At 36.4% G+C, this 25,347-nt stretch overlaps 1 protein-coding gene across 35 annotated transcripts in view, besides 3 other annotated features; it reads right to left on the bottom strand.

Moving 5' to 3' along the window:
* Window positions 1–25,347, bottom strand: part of TUSC3 (tumor suppressor candidate 3) — a 434,904-nt gene that overhangs the window by 223,713 nt on the left and 185,844 nt on the right. For 30 of the 35 annotated variants that reach the window (NR_182196.1, NR_182195.1, NR_182199.1 and 27 more), the window contains one exon: window positions 5,130–5,299. The exons of 1 other annotated variant lie outside the window; for it this stretch is intronic. Coding sequence is in view for 28 of the 34 variants with exons in the window: in NM_001413670.1 (NP_001400599.1) it covers window positions 5,130–5,299 (170 nt within the window). In the remaining 6 variants the exon portion in view is untranslated. Of the gene's footprint in view, window positions 1–5,129; window positions 5,322–25,347 lie in introns of those variants that run through there. 4 more of the 35 variants (XM_047422264.1, XM_047422265.1, XM_047422263.1 and 1 more) reach the window with 2 other exon arrangements.
* Window positions 691–1,254: an enhancer, noted in NCBI's record as "H3K27ac-H3K4me1 hESC enhancer chr8:15484634-15485197 (GRCh37/hg19 assembly coordinates)". NCBI's record gives its function as "activates a minimal SCP1, AML or CMV promoter by ChIP-STARR-seq in naive H9 embryonic stem cells {active_cell/tissue: H9 hESC(naive)}" and the evidence as "EXISTENCE:reporter gene assay evidence [ECO:0000049][PMID:30033119]".
* Window positions 1,416–2,101: an enhancer, noted in NCBI's record as "H3K27ac-H3K4me1 hESC enhancer chr8:15483787-15484472 (GRCh37/hg19 assembly coordinates)". NCBI's record gives its function as "activates a minimal SCP1, AML or CMV promoter by ChIP-STARR-seq in primed H9 embryonic stem cells {active_cell/tissue: H9 hESC(primed)}" and the evidence as "EXISTENCE:reporter gene assay evidence [ECO:0000049][PMID:30033119]".
* Window positions 11,548–12,048: an enhancer, noted in NCBI's record as "H3K4me1 hESC enhancer chr8:15473840-15474340 (GRCh37/hg19 assembly coordinates)". NCBI's record gives its function as "activates a minimal SCP1, AML or CMV promoter by ChIP-STARR-seq in primed H9 embryonic stem cells {active_cell/tissue: H9 hESC(primed)}" and the evidence as "EXISTENCE:reporter gene assay evidence [ECO:0000049][PMID:30033119]".

The raw sequence follows: 25,347 nt of genomic DNA, 5'->3' as shown, positions 1-25,347 counted from the left end.
TATTTAACAAATGATTTAACACCAAAATGCATTAAGTAAAATACTATCCAAAGAATGCACCATTTAACAGTATGTTATGGTTTATGTTATTACAGTACATATAATTATATGTAACAGTGAAATAAATACTTAGATAATAAAATATTTCTAGATTGTTATAAAAATATAATGATTAAATATTTCTTCACTATACTAGTGATTTTAGGAAATCAATACATTCAGTTTTTAGGAACAAAAAAAGATTTTCTTAAAATATTTACAGTATTTTTTAAATGCCTGAAATGTTTTATTTTTAGGGGAAAACGAACTGATATACCAAAATGGCAACTAAGGTATTTTGTCTGAGTAGGGCTTTATAGCATCCCTTAATGTTACGGGATCCTTGGGGTGTCGCTTCGCCAGATGGAAACCTCTGTGGCCAGTGGCACCTTTGCCTGAGGTTCACTCTGGCCCACTGGATTCGTTTTGTCCACTCAGACTGGCAGTCTCCACTCAGCTCCCGCTACCGGCCAGGATCCCATGCCTGCCAACGGTACACCAGGAACAGAGCAACAAGAAGTGTGTGAGTGAGCATGGGGTCTGGCCACTGCACACAGCCAGGCATGCTGGCTAGAGCAGGGCGTGCAGCTCCAGGAACTGGAAGAGACACCAGCTCCCTGTGAGGCTGCAGGTGGACTGCAAGCAGCTTCCCCGGCCAGCACTGGGGAATGCAGTGGCACCGGAAGCTTGGAGACACCAGAAACCACAGGGCCCCAAAAAGGGAGTCACAGCCCTGGCTCAGGAAGCTCCCAGGTCTGGGCTCCCCAAAGGGCCACAGCTATTCTCTTCTTCTCTTCATCCACAACATGGCAAGCGAGGGGCATGTTCCAGCCCTCTTTGTATTACAGCTCTTTTAGCCTTGCCATTTGGCAGGTCCCAAGTTCTTGTCCAGCATCCAGGAAGAAAGAAGCACACAAACAACCGGAGGGTGAGTAAGACAAAGAGGAGCTTTAGTGAGCAAAAGAACAGCTCAGAGGGAACCTGCAGTGGGCAGCTCCTCTCCATAGCCAGGATGTCCTGACAAGTCTTCAGCTCTCAGTAGGGAGGGTACCTCCTTTCTGCCAGGCAGGCTGTCCTATAGTCTCTTCAGCTCTCAGCAGAAAGAGCAGCACCTCTCTGCATCTGGTCCTACCATTGTCTCCTCAGCTCTCAGCAGAGAGGAGACCCTGGGGTGGGCAGCTTCTCTCTGCAGCTAGCCATCTCTTTGTCTCATCATCTCTCCATCCTCTTCTCAAGTCTGGCTGAGTCTGAGGTTTTTATGGGCCAGATATAGTGTGCGCTGACTGGTGCATGGGTGAGAGTAGGAAAAAGTACCACACTTTCCCACTCTGTTCAACGGGACCGGCAGCCCAGCCCCCCAGGCTTCAGGCCCTCCCAAGCTTGAAGGTGGGGTTTCATCAGGACCCTTCCACCCTGGAGCCTGTCTGCCTCCTGCAGCCATTCATGGTGCCCAGGTTGTTCTTGCCAAGGGGCACCTGCAGGCCAAAACCAGACTTCCCTCAGGGCCCCCCTCAGCCACTCTCCCATGCTCGTTTATGCCGAAAGTCCAGAGGGGACTGAGGCAGCAGGGGGCTGGCATGTCAGCTCTACCCTGAGCATGCACACACCTGGCCAAGCTCCAACAGTGCCCAATCCTTGCTCCAAGACTGGAGCAGCCACCAAGAGCAGGGAGAGACCAGGCAGTGGAAGCAGACATCTCCAAGCCTGCAGGGGTAAGGGGGGCCTTCCTGGGCCACTGAGAGTGCAGAGAGATGCCTGAGTCCGCAGTCGCAGGTGGACAGTTGCAGCTGCGCCCAGGAGGGCAAGGTTGCTGCCTGCTTCCTGCCCCAAAGAGCACACGGATATACTGGTCCACAGCCATGACTTGGAAGGCTACAACCATGCTCGGCAGGGTAGGGCTACTGTCTGCTCCCCGCTCCCACTGGCTCTATGGAGCACAGCACTGCCCCAGACCCAGTTCCGCCTTGGGGTCCCCTCTCTGCCCACCCCTCCATACCTGACTGCCCTGCTCTCCCACCAGCAGGTGACTTGGCCTGGCCCCACTGCAGTGGCCCCCATAGCTTCAGGGACTGTCTGGCTTCTCCCTATTCCCCGTAGAAGTGGCAGGTGACAGCAGTGACCAGGGACAGGGTCTGGAGTGGCAGAGGCTCCAGGCCTGGGAGTGGGTCCTGCCTAGGCTCAGGAGGGTGGGGGTGGCACAGTCAGCTACCTTGGGGACACAGGGCACAGGGGGCACGGTGCACACGGGTCTCCCCACTGCCACTGCTGCTCCTGCAACCACTCCCACCACTACCACCCAGCCTCCCTCGCCACAGCTGGAACTATAGCAGTGGCCTCTTCGGATGGCCCGCTGCTGCCATCGTTAAGGTATATATACTCTATCCTTATGTGCTAGCCCAATTCTGACAATAGTGTTTATACACTCTCAAGTACTGGTCCTCAAATTTGATAGTAATAGAATTCAAAATCACCTAACGTGCTGTTTTTCAAAATATTTTGCTCACCATGTTCTCTACTCACTTTTAACCATGCCCCAACATACACTCATTATTAGGTTGTGATAAGATGCTTCTTAGAAATTTTAGAACACTCTCATTCCCTTTCTACCACCTAACCTGAGTAAAACTGATTTTTTACATTGACCCAAGTTACTAATAACTTCAGTCTCCACTACAGCTCAAAATGATTTAGAAGCCTAAACCAAGTCTACAATGAATATACAACATGGACAATGCTGGCACATGCAGTTATAGTACAAAATGTGTTTGCTCTTGAACATGTGTTCAGCCAAGAAGATATAAACAAACTGTGCTGTGCTTAACCATCGAGGAAATGGATTATGTAATTTATAAGTTTCTGGAAGATATCTCCAGACCCAGATGATTTTACTGGAAAATGCTACCAAACACTTAAAGAAGAGTTAACACTAATTTTATACAATATTTCCCAAAAATTAAAATAGGTAACATTCCCCAACTCATTTTATGAGTACAATATTACCCTGATACCAAAACTAAACAAAGACACTATAAACAATAAAAACTACAGACCAGTGTCTATCATTAACTTAGATCAAACTTCTTCAAAAAAAAATTAGCAAACTGAATCCAGCAACACATAATAAAATAATATGACACAATTAAATAGTATCCATTCCTGTATGCAAGACCAGTTCAACATTTGAAAATCAATCAATGTAACTGATTATATCCATAGGCAAGAAAAACTACATAAAGTGACAACAAAAAAAATTTTTTTAATGCAGCACCTCATTCATGATAAAAACTGTCAGCAAACTAGGAATATAGAGCAACTTCCTCAACTTGATAAATACCACCTATAAAAAACCTACAGCTAATATCATACTTGATGACAGATTGAGTGCTTTCTTTCAAAGAGCAGATCAAACTGTAAAACATCAAACTAGAAAATTTTCAGAAAAAAAAACAGGAGAAGATCTTTGGGATCTAGGGCTAAGGAAAGAGTTCTTTAATTTGACAACAAAAGAAATAATTTTAAATGGATAAGCTAATAAACTGAACTTCATCAAAATTAAAACCTGCAAAAGACCTGTAATGAGGAGGAAAATACAAGTCACAAACTGGGAGAAAATATTTGAAAACCAAGTATCTGACGAAGGACTAGTATCTAAATATATGAAGAACCCTCAAAACTCATTTAAAGAATCCAATTAGAAAGGGGCAGAAGACTATGAACAGATACTTCATTAAAGATGATACATAGATGACGAATAAGCACATGAAAAGATGTTCAACACAATTAGTCATAGGGAAATGCAAAATTAAATCACAATGAGGTATTACTACAGTATCTATCAGAATGGCTAAAATAAAATAGTCACAACAGCAAATGCTGGTAAGGATAAGCAGCAACTAAACACACTGATGGCTGGAATGTGAAATGATACAGCCATTCTAGAAAACATTTTGGCTGTTTCTTATATAACTAAATAGAAACTACCACACAACCTAACCACCACACTCTGTGGCATTCTTCCCAGAAAAACGGTAAGTTCACATAAAAACCTGCAGAAAAATGCTCATACCACATTTATTTGCAATAGCCAAAACCTAGAAACGACCCCGATTCCTTTAACAAATAAATGGTTAAATAAACAGCAGTACATCCATATAATGGAACATTATTCAGTAATTTAAAAAAATAATTATTGATAAATATAACAACTTGGACGTATTTTTTTAGGGAATTACGGCTGATTTTTAAAAGCCAAACCCAAAAGGTCACGTACCATACAATTCCATTTACCTAAGATTCTTGAAATGACAAAATTATAGAAATGGAGAACAGACTAGTGATTGCCAGAGGTCAGAGGTCAAGTTCGACAGGTAAGAAGTACAATGGAGAGTGCGGGTGACTTTAAAGGGCAAGAAGTGTCCCTGCAGTAATAGAGCTGTTCCGCATTTGTCTGTATCGATGCCAGTACCCTACTTGTGAATTTGTACTATAGTTTTACAACAGGTTACCACTGGAGGAAACTGGGTAAAAGATGTGTACCTACAATTATTTCAAAATAAAAATTTCAATTTAAAAAAGTGTTTGTTGTATACTTTTGGACAAGTATTTATACTTGTCCAAAGTTTTCTTTAATTTATTCCTCCAGACAAACATTTCATTCATTTAAAACTGTTTACTTCTACAGCACAGAAATTTCTAATCATTGGCGGTATCAAAAATTAAATGGGCTACACTAGATAAAAGTGAGTCCTCTCTATTAAAAATTAAAAATTGATTATATTTAAGGGGGCTACTTCATTAACCATAGCTATAACTGAGTGACCTACAAGGCAATCTGCAGGATATCAAGATGATAAAACGGTTTTATGATTATATGTGCAACTGGTCAATGAATATTTTACATGCCCCCAATAAAAGAATATTAGCCTATATTTCTAAAATACACTGATTTTTCAGCTTATTTTTAAATGCACAGTTATATTTGACTATTAAACAACTGTTTATCTTACATATATTTATCTTAAAATGAACATAAAAATATATATGTAAACCAAGAATAATAGTTTTTAATATTTTTTAATTACATAAATTACCTGCACACAGAACACTGCCGCTGAGGCTGAAGAGCAGTGAACATAACAATCATGGAATAGTTTCGAGGTGGTGCCTTTATAAATTTTCGGAATTTATCACCATTCATTCGGAAGATTGAGCGTCTGGAACTCCATTCCATCAGCTGCTCTACTTTTTCAGCTAAAAGATTCTGCAATTAAACACAGAAATTAACATTTACAAAGAGTCAAAGTCCTTTTGTTTGAATTTCATATAAATGCATAAAATGTTTTATTTTCTTTTTCCTAATGATATCCAAGTTTATAGAAAAGATAAAAGACCATATTTCTGCTCCTAGAAAGATAGAAAGGACATATATTTTTATAATGTTGGGTTTTCTCTTGGCCTTATATATCCCAGACCACTTGCTAGAGAAGTCAGCAATCCAAGAATGCCAATGGGGGTTGACATAAAAAAAAAGAAGGCTCAAGAAAAGTAAGCTCTTGCTATCCAAAGGACAAAGAAAGGGGAAGCCCAGTAAAAATAATAACTGCTCTACTCTAGTCTAGCCAAACATCACAGCAAAAGGAAAACAAAACAACAACAAAAACTACAACCTCACAACCACCCCCACAAACACAAAGCTGCAACTATACACAAAAGAGTGTTGTATGATTCTACTTAAAGTCAAAAATAGGAAAAACTGATGTACTGTGCTAAAAGTCATTATGGTGGCTAGTCTGGGAGGCACAGTGACTGGTAGACAGCACAGGTGGAACTGGGCTATTAGTAATATTCTGTTCCTAGGGAGGTTTGGGAGGAGACAGCACTGTAGCTTCTGTATAGAAGGCTCTTATAGGCTGGGAATGGTGGCTCACACCTGTAATCCTAGCACTTTGGGAGACCAAGGTGGGAGGATCACTTGAGCCCAAGGAGTTCAAGATAAGCTTAGGCAACACAGTAAGACACTGTCTCTAAAAAAAAAGAAAGAAAGGAAGGAAAAAAAAAGGCTCTTATCTTTAGAACATTCATCTTACTTGAACAAGCCTGAGAAGTTAACAACTCTACAACACTGTATTCCTACAAGACAAAGAAACTGCCTGCCATTTTAAAACCAAGCAAGTATAAGCGGTCAGGAGAGGGAGGCTTGAAATGTGCCATTTAACCAAGCTCTACTCTAGAAATCAGAGAGAAAAGTAATCTCTTTCCCCTCTCCTCTCAGGTGAAAAAGGAAAAGTGGCTCACAGAGACTGGGTGCATATACATCAAGAAGAGAGAAGGGAAGGCAGACATCTTATCCTGAGTTAAGGTAAAAGACTTGTTGCAGTGCTTTGCACCCACTTGAACAGGAAAAAAGATAAATGGAAAGAAATGGAAGGGAGGAAGGGAAGGAAAGTAAGCTGGCCAAAGAGCATAGTAACCTGCAGAGAGAGAACATTCAGACATGCATGCATGCTAACTGTATGAAAAAGAAAAATCACAGCTAATGACTCGGCTGTGTTTTTTTTTTAAAAGACCCAATTTTGCCACAACCAAAGGGCATCAACTGAAATTGATCTTAACCTCAAAACAAACAAATTACTTGCATTTAGTTAGATTTACATATATAGATTTATATATAAAAATATATAGCTATAGATTTATCTATATAGATTTATCTATATATAATATTTATGTATAATTTATATATATAAATCCATATATATATTTGCAGTCTGAGTTAAATATATATATATAACTTTGGAAATATACTTTATATATATATATATATTTTACATATATTTATGTGTATTTTATAGATATATATTTCCAAAGTAAAATAACCTTATTAAACTGAAAATGATAACTTATCTCTCTGCCTCATCAATATACCCAGAACAGTAGAAAGTGACATAGAAGGACTTCTCCTAATTGTTCTTAGTTTCAATTTTGAGAAGCGAAGTGAGGTTATTTTCCATGTTAAGCACCATTTAATAGTTTTTGCCTTACAGAAAACTGTTATATATTTAATAAGTTTTAAAGTCTCCAGTATTTACCAATACACACAATGAACCAACTTACTATATAAATTCTTTTGAGCCTTGAAAACATTTTAAAATAATAAGATAAAAACTATATAAATATTTATTTTTTAAGTATTTAGAGACTGTGACCCTCTATGGAAAGAGTGGAAATCAAGCAGGGTAATCCACTAATGAGGGCAGAAGAGAACTGGTCTAAGAAAGTTACTTACGTATGAGTTACCTCAGTATTTTATGCTTTTCTCATTACACACATGCACAACACACACTCACACACAGACACACACCACACACAATCTTTTAATACTCTTTGAATTTCTACAATAATCTTACTGTTTTTCTCATTTAAAAATCCCATTTATACCAAATATGTATCTATGAAAACAGTAAGTAACTGTAAAAGGTCAAAGATTTCACTTTACTTTTAAATAATCAAAGAAGCCAGCCCCAGTTTCACGGATGCTGAAAGGAATGAGACTCCTGAGTCTGGTACTCCTATTTCCCATGCTTCCCATCTTCAAGGTAATACGAAACTCATTTAATAGCCTGATCACAAACGAAAATTCCTCACAGAGGAATAGTTCTTATTTAAGTAACAAAGGACTAGGTAAGTTACAAGTGCCTTCAAAAACCAAGCAAAACACAAGAATGCATACTCTTAACTTGGTTTAACTGAATTCCTTTTTGTAGTACACTTCTAGTTATCATACAATTACTATATTCCTTCAGAATTAGGCAAATATATATACGTCATTTTTCTAAATATTGAGAACCACTGTGCTACAGATTTCAGGGTACACAGTCATGTTTAATACTAAAAAAAATCAATGTAAAATATAATTTCTACACAATCACATCTTGAAAAATGTAGAATTCTAACTATATGTAATTTTCCCATTACAAATATTCTGGAAAAAATCTTTTAAACAAAATGCCTGTTAGTCCCATCATTTTGCATCAATCTTGACAAACTGGTATTTTTCATTACCATGACTACACTTCCTTACAAACACTATATCAGTGTGAAAGTCTAACGCTATCTGCAATGTATTAATATATTAGAGTGTGAGATTCACTATACCCTCAACAGATTAGAGTATTCATTCTTATTCATCTTCTATCTCTTTATGGTGTACACATATGCACACACACTTCCAAGTTAATCGACAATGGTATCTTATTTTAATTTGCAGTTTGTTTGTTTGTTTCTGACACAGTCTCCCTCTGTTACCCAGGCTGGAGTGCAATGGTGCAATCTCAGCAAATCGCAACCTCCACCTCCAGGGTTCAAGGGATTCTCATGCCTCAGCCTTGCACTGTTATTTCTGGCAAAATTGAGTCATTTTTTCACAATTCTGAATGCTCTCTCTTTCTTACTAATTAAAACTCATGTCCATTATCCTTGATCTATTCATAAATATAATCTGTCCTATACAAGAGATTAAAAAGTATATGGAATAGGCCGGGCACGGTGGCTCACGCCTGTAATCCCAGCACTTTGGGAGGCCGAGGCAGGCAGCTCACAAGGTCAGGAGATGGAGACCATCCTGGCTAACACAGTGGAACCCCATCTCTACTAAAACAAACAAACAAACAAAAAAATACAAAAAATTAGCCAGGCGTGGTGGCGGGCACCTGTAATCCCAGCTACTCCAGAGGCTGAGGCAGGAGAATGGCGTGAACCCAGGAAGTGGAGCTTGCAGTAAGCCGAGATCGTGCCACTGCACTCCAGCCTGGGCGACAGAGACAGACTTCGACTGGAAAAAAAAAAAAATATATGGAATAAAACTCTTTCCAGACTAATCAATGTTAAAACTAGGATAAAATTTTGTCACTTCTAAATTGTTTTCTTTCTGCTTATAGGGTAAACGAGGAAGAGCAGAGAGCAATTATAAATGAGAAAAGTAGCACTTTAAAAGCATGTATTATATTTGATTACATTTTGTGAATTATTTTTCTTTTAAAAGTCTCAATCTATTATATGAAAAATATCAATTATTTAAAAGCTGGAAACACAAATCCATGTTCTGGAATAACAATAAATATCAAATCATAGTGAAAATAAGAACTGAAATCTCGCCTATTCTTAGTATCCCAACTGCCTTAAGGGAGAAACACATTTCTCACTTAAACTAGGCTAAAATACCAGTAAAATCCACAAAACGATTTTTCTTTGAATTTTAAGTATCAAACTACTTTTAATAATTTCTTCCAAAACACAGCATATAAGGTAATGGAAGTGTTCCGACTTGTGACTAGTGGTAGAGCCATGACTGCATTTGCCAAAACCCACAGAAATACAGTCATGTGTCGCAGTGATGTTAATCACTTAACAACAGACTCCATACACAAAGACGGTCCCATAAGATTATAATGGGGCTGAAAAATTCTTACCGCCTAATACTGAAGGGCAGCCGTGGTAACACTGCAGCACACCGTTTTACTCCTGTGCTTGTGGTGATGCTGGTGTAAACAAAGCTACTGGCTGCCAGACATATGAAAACACAGCACATGCAATTACGTATAGTATATAATACTTGATAACGATAAACAACTTTGTTACTGGTTTTATGTATTTACTATACTTTTTATCTTTAGACTGTACTCCTTCTGCTTATTTGTTTTCTAAAGTTAACTGTACAACAGCCTCAGGCAGGTCCTTTACGAGGTGTCCAGAAGAGAATGTTATCCTAGGAGATGACAGTTCCATAACTGTTATTGCACCTGAAGACCCCCCAGTGGGACAAGATGTGGAGGTGGAAGATAGTGATATTGATAATCCTGACCATGTGCAGGCCTAGGCTAATGTATGTGTGTCTTAGTTTTCAACAATAAAGTATAAAAACTTCTTAAAAAATCAGAAAAAAGCTTACAGAATAAGGATATAAAGAAAATATTTTTGTACAGCTGTAAAATGTGTTTGTATTTTAAGCTAACTGTTATTACAAGAGTCAAAAAGTTAAAAAAAATTAAAAACTTTTAAAAAAAGTTCTAGTAGGGTAAAGTTAATTTATTATCAAAGAAAAATCTTTCGATAAAGCCTAAGCGTGCAGTGTTTATAGAGTCTACAGTAGTGTACAGTAACGTCCCAGGCCTTCACACTCACTCACCGCTACTGACTTATTCACCCAGAGCAACCTCCAGGCCTGAAAGCTCCATTCATGGAGAGTGTCCTAGACAGGTGGACCATTTTTTTTACCTTTTATACCATATCTTTGCTGTACCATTTCTAAATTTAGACGTGGTTAGATACATAAATACTTCTTATTGTGTTACGACTGCCTACAATATTTAGTAGAGTACTATTGTGTACAGCTTTGTACCCTAGGAGCTATACCACACAGCCTGGGTGTGTAGTAGACTATACCATCTAGGTTTCGGTGAGCATACTTTTGTCTTTAAATAACACAACAGTAGACAACACAAAAATGGTTTCTGCCTTACATATTTTTAAATGATCAGCCAGGGTTGGGAGGATGGTTTCAAAATAAAAACCAAACTTTAACAACTGAACTTGACTGCATTACTAACGTAAACATAACTTTGGAAAACAGTATTTGACTGGATATTCTTAAAGCCAAAGAGAAAAAGAAGCTGTACACAAATAACATACTCAAGTTATTTTTGTTTCTCACAGAGGTATGTATTACCACTTCTGTACTTAATGAGTACACCATAGTTGAACAAGTAAGTAAATATACATCTGGCTTTGTATCACTGTCAGAGAAGAACTCACAAATAAGGAAAGGGGGAGGGCCAGAATGCATATTGTGACGTTGGACAGGAGTTGGAGGCATCCATATTAATGTGTGGCTTTTTAAACAGGAATACAGGCCAGGCGCGGTGGCTCACGCCTGTAATCCTAGCACTTTGGGAAGCCTAGGCGGGCAGATCAAGAGGTCAGGAGTTCGAGACCACCCCGGCCAATATGGTGAAACCCTGTCTCTACTAAAAATACAAAAATAAGCCAGGCGTGGTGGCACGAACCTGCAGTCCCAGCTACTCAGGAGGCTGAAGCAGGAGAATCACTTGAACCTGGGAGGCGGAGCTTGCAGTGAGCGGAGATCACACCACTGCACTGCAACCTGGGCGACAGAGCAAGACTCTGTCTCAAAAAAAAAAAAAAAAAAATATATACACACACACACATTTTACAGATAGATACAGAAACAAATATAGACTTGTATGAGTGAGTGGATTAGTGTACATCTATTTCCTCCCTCTGTCTGCTGATTACACAGGATTCTTTCAAAGCCACTTCGCTAGCCGGAAATCTCTGTGGCCAGCAAGCAGCGCCTCTGATCAGGCTTTGCTGGGCTCATTCTGCCCACTCGGCCATGCTGGTCTCATGCTACTGGCCCAGATTCTGTGCCAACTGCAGTTCTATGCTTGGCCTGTGGCTGGGCCAGGCATGCGGCGACCTGCTTCTGACTTGGAAATCGACATCTGGATGAGGGGAACGCAGCGGCACCCAAAAACTCAGAGATGCCAGCAACGGCAGAGCACCAAGGGGTGTTAGGGCTCTTGCTCAGGGAGTCTCGAGGTCAGAGCCCCCAAGGACTGTTGTAGCGCTCTCTCCTTCCTGCCACCCACAGCACAGCCAGAATGAATGAAAAATATTTCCAATTGAGCTTGATAGTTTTAACATATTTGAATTTATTTTAAAATCAATAAAACAGATTAATTTTATTTTAAGATGAACTCTCACTCTGTCACACAGGCTGGAGGGCAGTGGTGCTATCTCCGCAAATTACAACCTCCACCTCCCAGGTTCAAACGATTCTCCAGCCTCAGCTTCCCGAGTAGACTGATTACAGGCGTGAGCCACCACGACGGGCTAATTTTTGTATTTTTAGTAAAAACGGAGTTTTGCCATGTTGGCCAGGCTGGTCTCCAACTCCTGACCTCAGGTGATCCACCCGCCATGGCCTCCCAAAGTGCTGGGATTACTGGCGTGAGCCACCACACCTGGCCTGATATTCTGAAACACATATATAATATGCAAATTTCTAGGAGTAAATTTTGTATAAAAATACATGTCACTATAAACTTCTAAAACAGAAATTAGTCCCTATTGAAAAAAAGCAAAAAAATCAAGATCTCTACTTTTATTCTTTAAGAGTCTTCATTTCTGAACCTATTCCTATACCACACTAAATTATCTACTTTTATTATACCTTCCTACTCTGTTATCGACCATTAGAACTTATTCCTACACCAGCCTGGACTGCAGCACAGTGAGGCCCCAACTCCACAAAATTTTTTTTTAAATGAGCCAGTCTTCATGGTGTGTTCACGTGGTCCTAGCTACTCAAGAGGCTGAGTCCAGAGGATCACTTGAGTCCACAAGTTCAAGCCACGGAACTGTGGAACTTATTCCTTCTATCTAACTACATGTTTATATCCTTTAACCAGCCTCTCTTCATTTTTTCATTTCAGTACTTATGGGTTTAACTCATTTTTGTAGTATTTTAGTGTATAAACGTCCTGTATTTTCTTTTTTCCTTTTCAGTTGACAGGCAATAATTATACATATTTATGGTAGAGAGGGATATTTCTACATACTATACAATATGTAATGATTTAAATCAGGGTAATTAGAATATGTATCACCTCAAACATTTATCATTTCCTTGTGCTGTGAACATCTGAAATCCTCTCTTCTAGATTTGGAAAATATATAGTATATTAGTGTAAACTATATTCACCCTACACTGCTTATAGAACATTAGAACTTATTACTCTTATCTGTAATTTTGTGGCTAAATAACCTCTTCCTATCCTCCCCTCCTGCCTACTTTTCCCATCCTCTAATAATTGTAATTCTACTCTCTACTTCTATGAGCTCAATCTGGTTTTTGGTTTCTTTTTAACTCCCATATGAGTGAGAACATGTGATGTTTGTCTTTTTGTGCCTGACTTACTTCATTTAACACAATGTCCTCTGGACTCATCCATGTTGCTGTGAATGGCAAGATTTCATTTCTTCTTACAGCTGAATAACATTCCATTGTGTATATACAACACTTTTGTTATCCATTCATCTATTGATGGACACTTAGGTTGATTCCACATCAGGGGTATTGTGAATAATGCTTCAATAAACATGAGAGGACAGGTATCTCTTTGATACACTGATTTCCTTTCCTTTGGATAAATAACCATCATTGAGATTGCTGAATATTATGGTTGTTGTATTTCTGGTTTTTAAAGAAATCTCTATACTGTTTTCCATAATGGCTGTACTAATTCACATTCCCACGATGAGTGTACAAGAGTTCCCTTTACTACGCGTCCTTTTCCGAATTTTGGGGTGGTTTTTTTTTTTTTTTTTGGTCTTTTTAATAACAGCCTGAATAGCTGTACTTGTATACTTTCACTATATATAAAAAGTAAATTGGAAATTTCAATTCTAACCCAAGGAGTCTGTTTCATATATAAATTATTATGTAACTATATCCTTAGCAAAAAAGAATAATAATCCGGCATTTCACAGATTACTATGTCCAAGGCAATTTACAAATTTGTACAAGCATGACTTTAAATTTAAATGTCATGAAAACTTAAATTTTCATCAACTGTTGAATGGATAGACAAAATATGGTAGGTCCACACAATGGAATACTGCTAGGAAATAAAAAGAAGCCAACTTGTAACTGCCACGACATGGATAAGCCTCAGGAACATTATATTCACTGAAAGAAGCCAGACATAACAGACCACACATTTTATTCTCCCATTTATATAAAAAGTCTAGAAAGGCAAATTTATAAAGACAAGAAGTAGATAAGCAGTTGTCTGGGCCTCAAGGTAAGAACAGGGATTAACTGTAAACAGTCACAAATATCTTACTGAAGAGATAAAATGTTCTAAAACTGATTTCTAGTGATGGTTGTACCACTCACTAAAGTTACTGAAAGTCATTTAATCATACACTTAAATGAGTGCATGTTAAGAAATGTAAAACATACCTACATAAAGGCTAGTGGGCATAAGTGAGCCTCATCCAATACTAAAGACCCCCATCTCAGCCTAGACTCAGTGTTTCCATGAGGTGATTAAAAAAACAGAAACCTTAATTAAAATAATATGTGTTATGGCTAATGCAGAGAAAATACTTAGTTCTCTCAGAAACACAATTTTGGTACTAAATAATCTGAGAATTCTCAAGTCTTTAGGGGAGAAAAAAATAATTTTCTCTTCTATCCTTCATGGAGTTCTTAACTCAGACCCCCACCGAAAAAAAAAAAAAAATAACAAAACACCAGAAGCTTCACAAATGTATACTTCCTGTACACATGGGAGATAACACAGGGAAAATGAGTGAATCTCTAAATTAGATCTCAAAGGCCTAATTCAAACTTCTCTGTTTGGGTGTCCCTTTTGGTCTTCTGAAGAAAATTATGCTCATGAATCTCAGCTCCCTATTCCCAGTGAAGAATGAAAGTTGGGTCAAAAAAGTCCATGCTTAAAGGGAATGTTAAAGTTAAAGGAGAACAGAAATATCTATAAGATGGAATATAATACAACTCTTACAAAACCTGAGATAATGCTATATGTATTTGTATTAGTCTGTTTTCACACTGCTAATAAAGACATACCCGAGACTGGGTAATTTATAAAGGAAAGAGGTTCAATGGACTCACAGTTCCACATGGCTGGGGAGGCCTCACAATCATGGCAGAAGACGAAGAACAGCAAAGGGACATCTTAACATGGCAGCAGGCAAGAGACAGCATGTACAGGGAACTTCCCCTTCATAAAACCATCACATCTCATGAGACTTGATGTTTGTAAAACTGCATGGGCCAATGCATGGAAAACTCTTAGCACTGCATCTTACAAATGCTAAGACACTCAAATTTCTTTTCCTTTTCTTCAGGTCATGATCTAACAACAACACAGATCACATTGCTAAAAGAATTATCTGCAGTGGGAATTTTTTAAATCTCATTAATACCTTCAATCTCAGAGTTACCTAATGTTTCTGAGTATTACAAGAAAAGCACTGTGCTAAATTTACTTAAAAAAAAAAAGCACTGTAAGACATGTTACATGAATCCCATTGTCCCCAAATTTGGCACAAATAAGACAGATCCTACTCTCAAGCCCTTAAGGCAAATAAACTCTAGCACTAAAAAGTGTCCATGTGTACACACACACAAACACATATAAAATACATATATATGATATATATATATATATCATATATATAATATGGCTTATATTGATATGCGATGGCTGTAGCTCTGCTCTTAAGTAAACGGCTTAGTGCCAACTCAGGAAGGGATGGTAAAGAATATATTGTTTCTGTGAACATTAACTGATATTGTGGCTCCTTTAAATTCACTGCAGAAGATTCTGAAGTCTAGACTGGTCCGATCAGTGAAGAGTGGGTGATCGGTTGGCTTTGTCTCTTACTGATACAAGATGGGACATACAGTCCAAGATGCCATAAATCTGTCACATCAGAAAAGGAAAAAGAAATCTGTAACTTAGAATCTTCAAAAACAAAACAAAACAAAAAAGCCCCATCCTTGTTACTTTATAAAAAACAAAGGTTAGAAGGTCACATCTATGAATGAAGTTAATAGAATCAGTCATAATACGTTCAGATGCCCATTCCTCTTTCTTATATTTTTTCCTTCTTGTATTTTTATCTTAACATTTTATGAAGGCTTAACTTTATAGCAACTCAGTATAATAAACAAGCTGGCATAATCTATATACCAGTCTCCAAATTATGACACCACTCCATTTTTTCTCAATTCACATTTTACTACAATAACCAATTTATAACCAAAAATACAAGAAATAGTACATTGCATTAAACAATACGTAATACAATGGTTCATTCCAAAGTGAAGCTTAAATAGAATAAGAGCTCACTAATCTCATATTTTTTACTCTTTCTTGTTTGTTTGTTTGTTTCAACATTTTATCCCTAGGAACATGACCAGATGTACCAAGGCAAAAAGATATGTGGTCTCATGTCTTTAACCAAGATGCCTCTGCCAGGGGGGCAGCTATTCACGTGTTTGTTTACCAGTCACATATACAGTACTTATTCAGGTACCTGCTATCTGAATAGCAGGTACTCATCAAAATAGCCATAATAAAACTTGCTTATAGTAATTCACAGCATGCAGATCTGGAATGAGAACAAGACGTACATGTTGAAGGTATCAACTGCTAACCCACAGAAACAATATCATGACCCCTTCTGTTCTTCTTATATTTTTAAAGGAGTCTCTAAGAGAACAAGAAGCCTTTACTTTTCAAGACTCTAATATTTAAGGAGTTCAATGAAAACCCAACGATAAACCAAACATGAGCAGCCAGATGCATATCGTTTTGCATTTAGTAGAAAAGTTATCTTCCATGTTGGAAATTCGATCTTAAAAATCTGTATTCATATTTCTTAATATTATGTCATACTTAACAGATTTAAAAATATATAAAGGGCAATTAATGCTTCTAGGAACCAAAAAATCAGAGATTAAGCACTATACCACCTCATCTACATTACAAACTGATAGTTCAGTAAAGACCACCACTACCTTTAAAGGCACTCAGAAGACCACAATGAGCTATACAGTAAATTAAACAAATACACCATTTTTATCAGAAATATAAAATGCATACAGCACACACGCCATAAAGAAAGCAAAAATTCCAAGAGGTTAATCAGTTAAGAACTCAGCAAATCATGGTCTCTCTAGAGATAATGTAATCAGCAATCCATCAGAAAACAATTATCATTACATTCAAAAGCAAAAAGGTAGCCAGGTACGATGGCTCACGCCTGTAATCCCAGCACTTTGGGAGGCCGGTGCGGGCAGATCACGAGGTCAGGAGTTTGAGACCACCCTAGCCAACATGGTGAAACCTCCTCATCTCTACTAAAAATACAAAAATTAGCTGGATGTGTGGCAGGTGCCTGTAATCTCAGCTACTTGGGAGGCTGAGGCAGGAGAATCGTTTCAACCTGGGAGGCGGGATTTGCAGTGAGCCGAGATCACGCCATTGCCCTCCAGACTGGGAGACAGGGCAAGACTCTGTCTCAAAAAAACAACAACAGCAACAACAAAAAAGTTCTTTGAAATATTTGATACAGAACACTATAAAAATTAAAGAAAGAAATACTGTAAAATCCCAAACCAATTCCACCTCTGGGAAGATCCTAAAGACCTTTTGTTTGTGTAAAGTTATCTAATGAGAAATAGAGAAATTAAGTTATTCTAATATCACACTTTTTTTGAAAAAGAAGCTTTCAGTGGACGGTACTACAATATTCAATTAAGTGAACTTTTTCTAGAGACATATTAAAAATAAGTCCAGTAACACTCTTTTAGTTATGTGTCTATCAACCTGAACTCTCCTCAGAAATTTTCCCTGAGGAGAGATCCACATTTTGACCATCTTTGTACCCCGGAGAGCATCCTGAACACTGGTGGCTCCTGAGAGGCCCTCAAGCCCTCCCTATACCTCTACTGAATGAATGGAAAATTTGTAAAACTTTTACGCTCTAATATAGGAATTGCTAACACAGTAGCCCTATTCAAATGTCACTTTTTTAAAGGGGTTTACTTCAATTTGCCAGTCTCTTTGCTCTATTTATTCTCTGGTTCAAAGGCAAAAAAGAATATTTCGAAGTAACAACTGTTTCCGAAACTTGCATATGTATCTCACTTATATATAAAATCAGTATAACAATAAGAACTTAAGAATTGCTGTTGCCAGATGTTAAATTAATATTCCAAAGATTTAAAATAAATCAAGTTTGCTAGTATTTCCTTATTCATAAAAATTAATAAAGGAAGCAGTGAATTCACAGAAACACATCAACATTAAATTCTACATTGAAAATACCAGAAATGTTTCTCCATGAGAAACTTAACTACTCCCTTGCAGCAATAATTTTAAGAATTCTAATGTTAGATGTTGCTATACCTTAATTTTATCAGCGAAAACATCATGCAGTATACTGAAATATTTTGCATTTGATACTTGTGGTAATAACAAAATCGGATCAATGAATGTATGGAATTTTATGGATTTCAAAGTATGCTATGAAATAAATCCAGTGCCTAAAACGCAAAGCCCCTCATAAAAACAACGATACAAAATACATTAAACTGATTATAATTTATTCATCATACCTTTCTTAATATACCTTAAAAATTTCCAAAAGAAAAATAGTTAAACCATATAAACATAGTTATGTGATCAACAGCAACAAAAATAAAAACAGCTAGGAAATAAAGAGCATAATAATACAATAAAATACCAGAGACTAAAATGAAATGTGGTGACTAGTAAGAAAATTATATCATAACAGTAAGTGGAAAGATAGAAGGTAATATATTCATAGTAATATATTAGTATCACAAAAGTGTATGTTTATTGATAAAGATAGGTCATAAAGTCATGTAAATAGTTGAAAATGGCCTTTTTTTGGTTTTGGGAGTTACTCTGTTTTATTTTTAATGTACAGTGAAAACATGTTTTTTTTTAAATGTTTGTTGTCCTCCTGACAATTTTTCACTAAAAAATTGCTTAAGTACAATACCCTACTATCAAGAGACAGTATCATTATAATGGGAATCATGATACTTTCTCTGAAGACTCAAAATATGAAGTCATTTTAATCAGGGACAGTCATCAAATGGGTCAAATGAGCTTCCCATTTTTTTTTCCACCACTGCATTAGCTTCTGTCACCATTTTTCTTGAACTCTTTCATATCCTTCTGTTGGACATTCATTTATAAATAAATATCTCATTTTAAAACAAGTACCAGATATAAGAAATGAGAGCAGCTGTTAAAAGCTTAGAAGAAAATCTACTTCCAGCTGTACACAGCCATCTGGCCTGCCTCTCTTGGGAATACAGATCCAGACAAGATGACTATTACCAGTGTAAATGAGTATAGCAGGTACTCTATTGTAGTAATACATTATATCATAAAATTATCTTGCACTGCTTTAGAAGTCATTGTGTGTAACTCTTCACTATTAATGGCCACATATTATGTGTCACAGCTGAAAAAAACTTTTACTAACAGAATGTGGCAAAACAAAACCGTAACTATACTCATAAATTGTAAAATTGAGTTAATTTTTTCAGTGACTTTATTCTTGATTCACACAAATCAGTCACTAAAATATGTAACGCTTACATCGTCAAAACAAAGAAAAATTCAATAGAATCCAACAGAAAATCAGCCAAGAGCAAAGTTTTAAATGTACTTTAAAAAATTTCCAACGCTTGTTTTTCATCAACTTAAACAGTGTTTAATTCTACCAAGTTTCTTCCAAATGGCAAGAGCAAGTCAAGTTTTTTGGGAGTAGAATCAAAGATTTCTTTTGGTTATTTTGTACAAAGGTATATGTATTAGTCAGTTTTTGCACTGCTATAAAGAAATATCCAAGACTGGGTAATTTATAAAGGAAAGAGGTTTAATTGACTGACAGTTACGCATGGCTGGAGAGCCTCAGGAAACTTACAATCATGGTGGAAGGGGAAGCTGGCACATCTTACATGGTGGCAGGCAAGAGAAGTGAAGTGAAAGCAAAGGAAAAACTGCCACTTTTAAAACCATCGGATCTCACGAGACTCACGCACTATCACAAGAACAACATGGGGGAAACCACCCCCATAATCCAATCACCTCCCATCAGGTTCCTCCCGTGACACATGGGAATTACAAATGAAGATGAGATTTGGATGGGGACACAGAGCCAAACCATATCAATATACAAAGGTAAAAATCTCCGAAGAAACTTCTTACATCACACTTCATGTGGAAGACTGAGTAATATTAGAGATAAGATTCTAGGCTCACCCCTAGCCCTAGGATGTCCCTACTATTGTTCAATTTATCCCTATAAGACAAACAACTATTTTATATTGGAATTTATTGTTTACAAAAAGCACCAATATAAAGTAACAAAGCAAGCAAAAAAAAACTAAGGAATTCAGTACACATTAAACACTCATGGAAAAGAGAGGAACCTCTTGAGGATAAAATATAACCAAGAACTCAATCAAAATAAGGAACTCAGGAAAAGAGAAGCTATGGATAAAATTCAGCCAAGAGGTGAATCAAAATCAAGAACTCAGGAAATAAGCTATGGTAAAAGCCAAATGTGAATATAGTGCTAATTAAATGCAAATACATTTAAATGTAAAACCAAGAATAAACTACTCTGGCATTTATTGTTATAGACATTCTCACCATTCTGGTTTGCTAAGGAAACCCCAAACTGCACTTGCTGTATCACTGCATGCTTATCAAAAATATTCCAGTTCAGGTAAATTATATGGGCATTCAAGATATGACACTTCATTACGTTCCATAACTAGACAAAGTAATTTATCAAATATTTGCTGACAGGGAAGAGAATTAGGGAGGAAATGTAAAAGTACAAAATTTCTACATTTTTAATAGCATATAGTCAATCAATACAGATTTAACTGAAACACAGTGCTGCTTAAAACAATAGTTCATGTTATGCATATTGAAGGAAGGACACTTTTCTCCAGCTTACTCTAAAATGCATTTAAAAAGACAGAATGATTGCTGATACATAAGATGGAGTTGCGATAAAGCAAGCACAGTCAATTGTTAATTGTGGAATCTAGGTAGTCGATATCTGGGTATTCAGTGTAAATTCTCTCAGCTTACCTTTATGTTTTAGAAGTTCATAATGAAATGTTAGAGGAGAAGTAAATTTTACTTAATGACAATTGTTTGTAGGTGGTGACATGTTTCAATAAAATTTTTTCTCATCTTTATTTCTATTTTGCTTTGTTACACTAAATTATTTTACAAATGTATGTAAACTATACACACACTTTACAAATGTATTATAACTGTAGTTTGTAAAGGAGTTGACTGTTTTGAGCCACTTAAAAGTTTCTATCACTAAATTATAAATTCTTGAGAGCCTAGAACTGTCTCTACCATCACTGTATGCCCAGTGACCAGGCCGGTGCCTGCCTCATTAAATAAATATTTGTGTAACTAATTAAGTAATGAAAAAAATGTACTGAAAATACAGAAATAGAATTAACACAGCTCTTTTCTGGTCCACACGTTTCCTTGGTTCAGACGCTCTCCCCCAACCATTTGTGGCAGGAGAAATGCCCTTTTTAAAACATTTGGGATTATGATCAGAGAGAACAGCACAGGGTAAAAGCTTACTACTGAAACTTGCGGGTAGTCTGTACATAAGATACCATCCATGTTGAATGCTAATATTAACTGGATTAAAATATTATAAAACATTGTACTTTGTTTTATAAGTATATATATACACATATACACATACACACACACACACACACAATGTTTTATTAAAAATACCACTGGAAAACGTAAGTTAAAACTGTACCAAGGGATACAATATGGCTATGCATTGGTAACATCTTTCAAGAAGTCACATTTATAATACATACGAAGCTTTAAATGTGTGTTTCCTTTAGTTCATCAATGCCATTTCTAGGAATTTATCCTAAAGAAATAATCAGACAAAGTACACACGTAAATATAAAAGGATATTCACTGAAGCACTGTTCATAATTCCAAGTATTTGGATATAATATTTATGCCTACAGAGAGGAATCTGATTACATCATAACATGGTATGAAACAAGACAGTATTATAGTTATTTAACAAGATGAAACAGACTTACCTACAAGAATATCCACAATTTGTGTGTGCCTATTCACTCATTAACTTTTTTACATACATGCTAAATATTTGAAATAATATAGAACAATGGGAAGGTTAGGGGCACCCACACAGTCAAAAATCACGTGTTAAGTGTTCACTCCCCAAAAATTGACTACTAAAAGCTTACTGCTGACCAGAAGCCTTACCAATAACATAGTCAATTAACACAGATTTTGTACATGTATTATATGCAATATTCTTACAATAAAGTGAGCTAAAGAAAATGTTATTTAGAAATCATAGGACAAAATACATTTATAGTACTGTATTGTATTTACTCATACTATAAGTTTCTGTCACCTGTTTACAAGATGAATCATCTGTTTAAAATGGGAGCAACCACAGGTACAGATCTCAATCTATGGTATCTATCAAGCAACTCAACTTTTTCTTGTAATGTCATGGCTTGTCTGCTTCTTGGGAGCACCTCCAGCATCCCTAGTGGCATTTTGTTTGCGTCCCATGGTGTTATTCAAGGTTTACACTATTACATTAAACAGAATGAAAAATACAGGAGAACCTCGGGTGATCACTGTTTACTGCAATATGCAACTCACTGGAGAGATGAAGGGCTCACATGGAGATGATCAGTGTCATAAGGCATTTTAAGTGGCTACTGCAACACTTAAGCTCACCCTAATAGCAACGGAATGCAGCTACGAAGTTATGACAGTAGCCTATAACGTACTACAGTTAATTTTATGCAGTTGTGATTTAATATGGCAACCTTATGTTTGTTTACATTTCCCTCAACTGCAAGTGGTGTCATGTGTGATTTGTAACTGTGTGTCTAAGTTTTAACAAGTTTTGACCTTTTTATAATAGATTTGTGTATATCTTATGGTACTAAACGATGAAAATAGACTAGTATGTATATACATTTTATGCCCTCTTGACAGACTTTTTTCTCCATTTTTTTTGGTATTTGTAAGGCAATGCAGTCCATCTTAGAATGCTTTCAAATTGTCACATATCTTAAAAAAATTTTCCAATATATTGATTTGAAAAAAATCTATGTATAAATAGACCCACGCAATTCATACCCATGTTGTTCAAGGGTCAACTGTGTAGCAAATCAATAATGGCTTCCTTCTACAGGAGAAGATAAATGGTTATGTTTATTTTTACTTTATGAATCATGTGATTTGAAATTTTTACCTGTGGTGCTTTATAAACAATAAAACAACAGTTATTGCCAGTTAGAGACAGTTTAAGAGACATGCAAAAAAAGAGTGACTAAAAGACAAGTAATTTTGATTCCTCTAGGAAAAGATATGAAACAAAGCCAGGTAGCGGCATGAGTTACTCTGTGCTTCTTTGCTGTTCCTATACTAATCTTCCCATCTATTGATTGATTCTACTCTTTTGGAAGCGATGCTCACTTCACGCTTGGGGTCAGGCTGCTATTTGAGAAAATGAGGATGTTTCATTATATTCTAACTTCCACAGTCACTACTACATTCATCTTTACTGACTAACACCTTAGTTCATTTCAGTAAAAATGGCCTGGAGTATCAGAACTTCTCTACAATAACCAGAGTTTTATGTATCTCTTTACCAAAAAACTGAAGAAAGCAATCCCAGATATTTCAAAACTAATTTAGTGAACCATTAGAGAAAAACAGATACAAGAAACCAATATAAGCCCAACAAATAAAACCATTTTCCTGGGTCTTGTAAGATAAAGTTTGGAGATTCTCTGGTAATAAAAATGCCAAATATAGAAAAAATGTAGGGCTATTAAGTTACTGCAGAATACCACAGTCCTAACCATATTCAGAGAGTTAACATTCTGCTACCATAAATATCAATGACTGTTCAAAGGCTTACTTTGACATTCTAAATAGAAAACCAAAAGGCAAGAAACACTTGGCATTAACTAGAAAACAATTAATTCGGTAATTATTCAGTAACCCATATGTACCTGAAGCAAATGACAAAAGTTAATCCCCTTTGCAACTGATAATCTATCTTGGTGCCACTTGTATTTTTATTAAAATATTTACAATAATTATAAGAAAATATTTTCTTGTTAATAACTACTATTTTGAGAATTTGGGGAACTATTTTAATGCAGAAAAGCACAAATAATAATAAAACAAAAACCCACGTACTCATCAATGACAATTATCATCGAATAAGGTCTGTTAGTTTGCAATCTATTTGGTTTATTTCCTAACATAAATAATTAAAATACTACAGGTACCTCTGAATTCCTTTATCCCATCTTACTTTCCCCCTCTTTTCCACTAAACTAAAAACACTGTTTTTCTCAAATCTATCTTTATGTGTATAAAGACGCACCCATAAACAGGTACATAAAATCAAAAACCATACAATAAAATGTTACATATGTCTTTAATTTGCATAATACTCTATCTCAATATCATACTGAAACTTTTAATTCAAACTTTTGTTTTAGAAACCTCTGCATATTGACGCTTATAGGTAAGTCATTTATCTGCATTGCTGTAGGGCACCCCATCATATTAATATATTACATTTTTCCATTTCTCTTAATAATGGTCACATAGGCTTTCTCATTTTTCTAATAAGCAATAATAGAATCATTATCATTATTCATGAGTAAAAGTCACTCTAAAAGGGTTCTTAAACTGGCATCTGTAAGTTCTATGATTCTAACTCAAGGAGGTGATAAACTTGAAAAAGGGGAAAAACATCTTCATTTACATAAGTCTGTAAAATTTAACATTTCAGTTATAAGTGGAGGCAAAAAAAAAATAGAATTAGCAGTCCCTGTGACTTGGTAAACCATAGGAATCGCAGGTACTTTCCTATTCCATTCCATTCATTGCTGATATCTCAAGACACAGTTCATGTTCATCATCATTTTGAACTTGTAATGGCTATCAGACCTGTCACTAAATTCTTGTTATAAAATTTCTTCATAAAAATATTACCATATCATATTTTTATATTGTAATAATGATATTTCAATATGACTATCTTTTATAATCCTATATATTGTACTTAAAAAATTTTTCTGCAAAGAAGTACACAGGCTTCATTCACCAGACTGTCAAATACGCCCACAGAATACAAAAACTTACTAACCAATTACAAGATATTGCCAAACTGTTTTTCCAAACTAACTCCTACCAGCAACATGTGGGTTCCCATTTTCCCACATACTTATCAACACTAACACTGTCAGACTTTTTGCATTCTGTTGCCAGGATGAAAAGTAACAAATAGCATCTCAATATTCCTCTAATTTTCATATCCATGATGTTTAATGACATTATACATATATTGTTTATTAACAACTCAGGTTCCAGTGATAAACTCTGATCAGATTATCTATTTTTCAATTGGGTTCTCTTTTCTTATTAATTTGTAGTAGTTCTTTAGTGGTAATTAACTAGTCATGTATTAGTAATTAACTACATGTGTGGCAACTATGATATCTTCTGTCTAGGACTTGACATATCAATTTACTTATGGTCTCCTTTGTCACACAGACTTTTCTTTTTTTAC

This window comes from Homo sapiens, chromosome 8 (genome assembly GCF_000001405.40).
Source record: "Homo sapiens chromosome 8, GRCh38.p14 Primary Assembly".
NCBI lineage: Eukaryota > Metazoa > Chordata > Mammalia > Primates > Hominidae > Homo > Homo sapiens.
The sequence above is the reverse complement of the archived record's forward strand: the minus strand, read 5'-3'. Positions and strand labels throughout refer to the sequence as shown.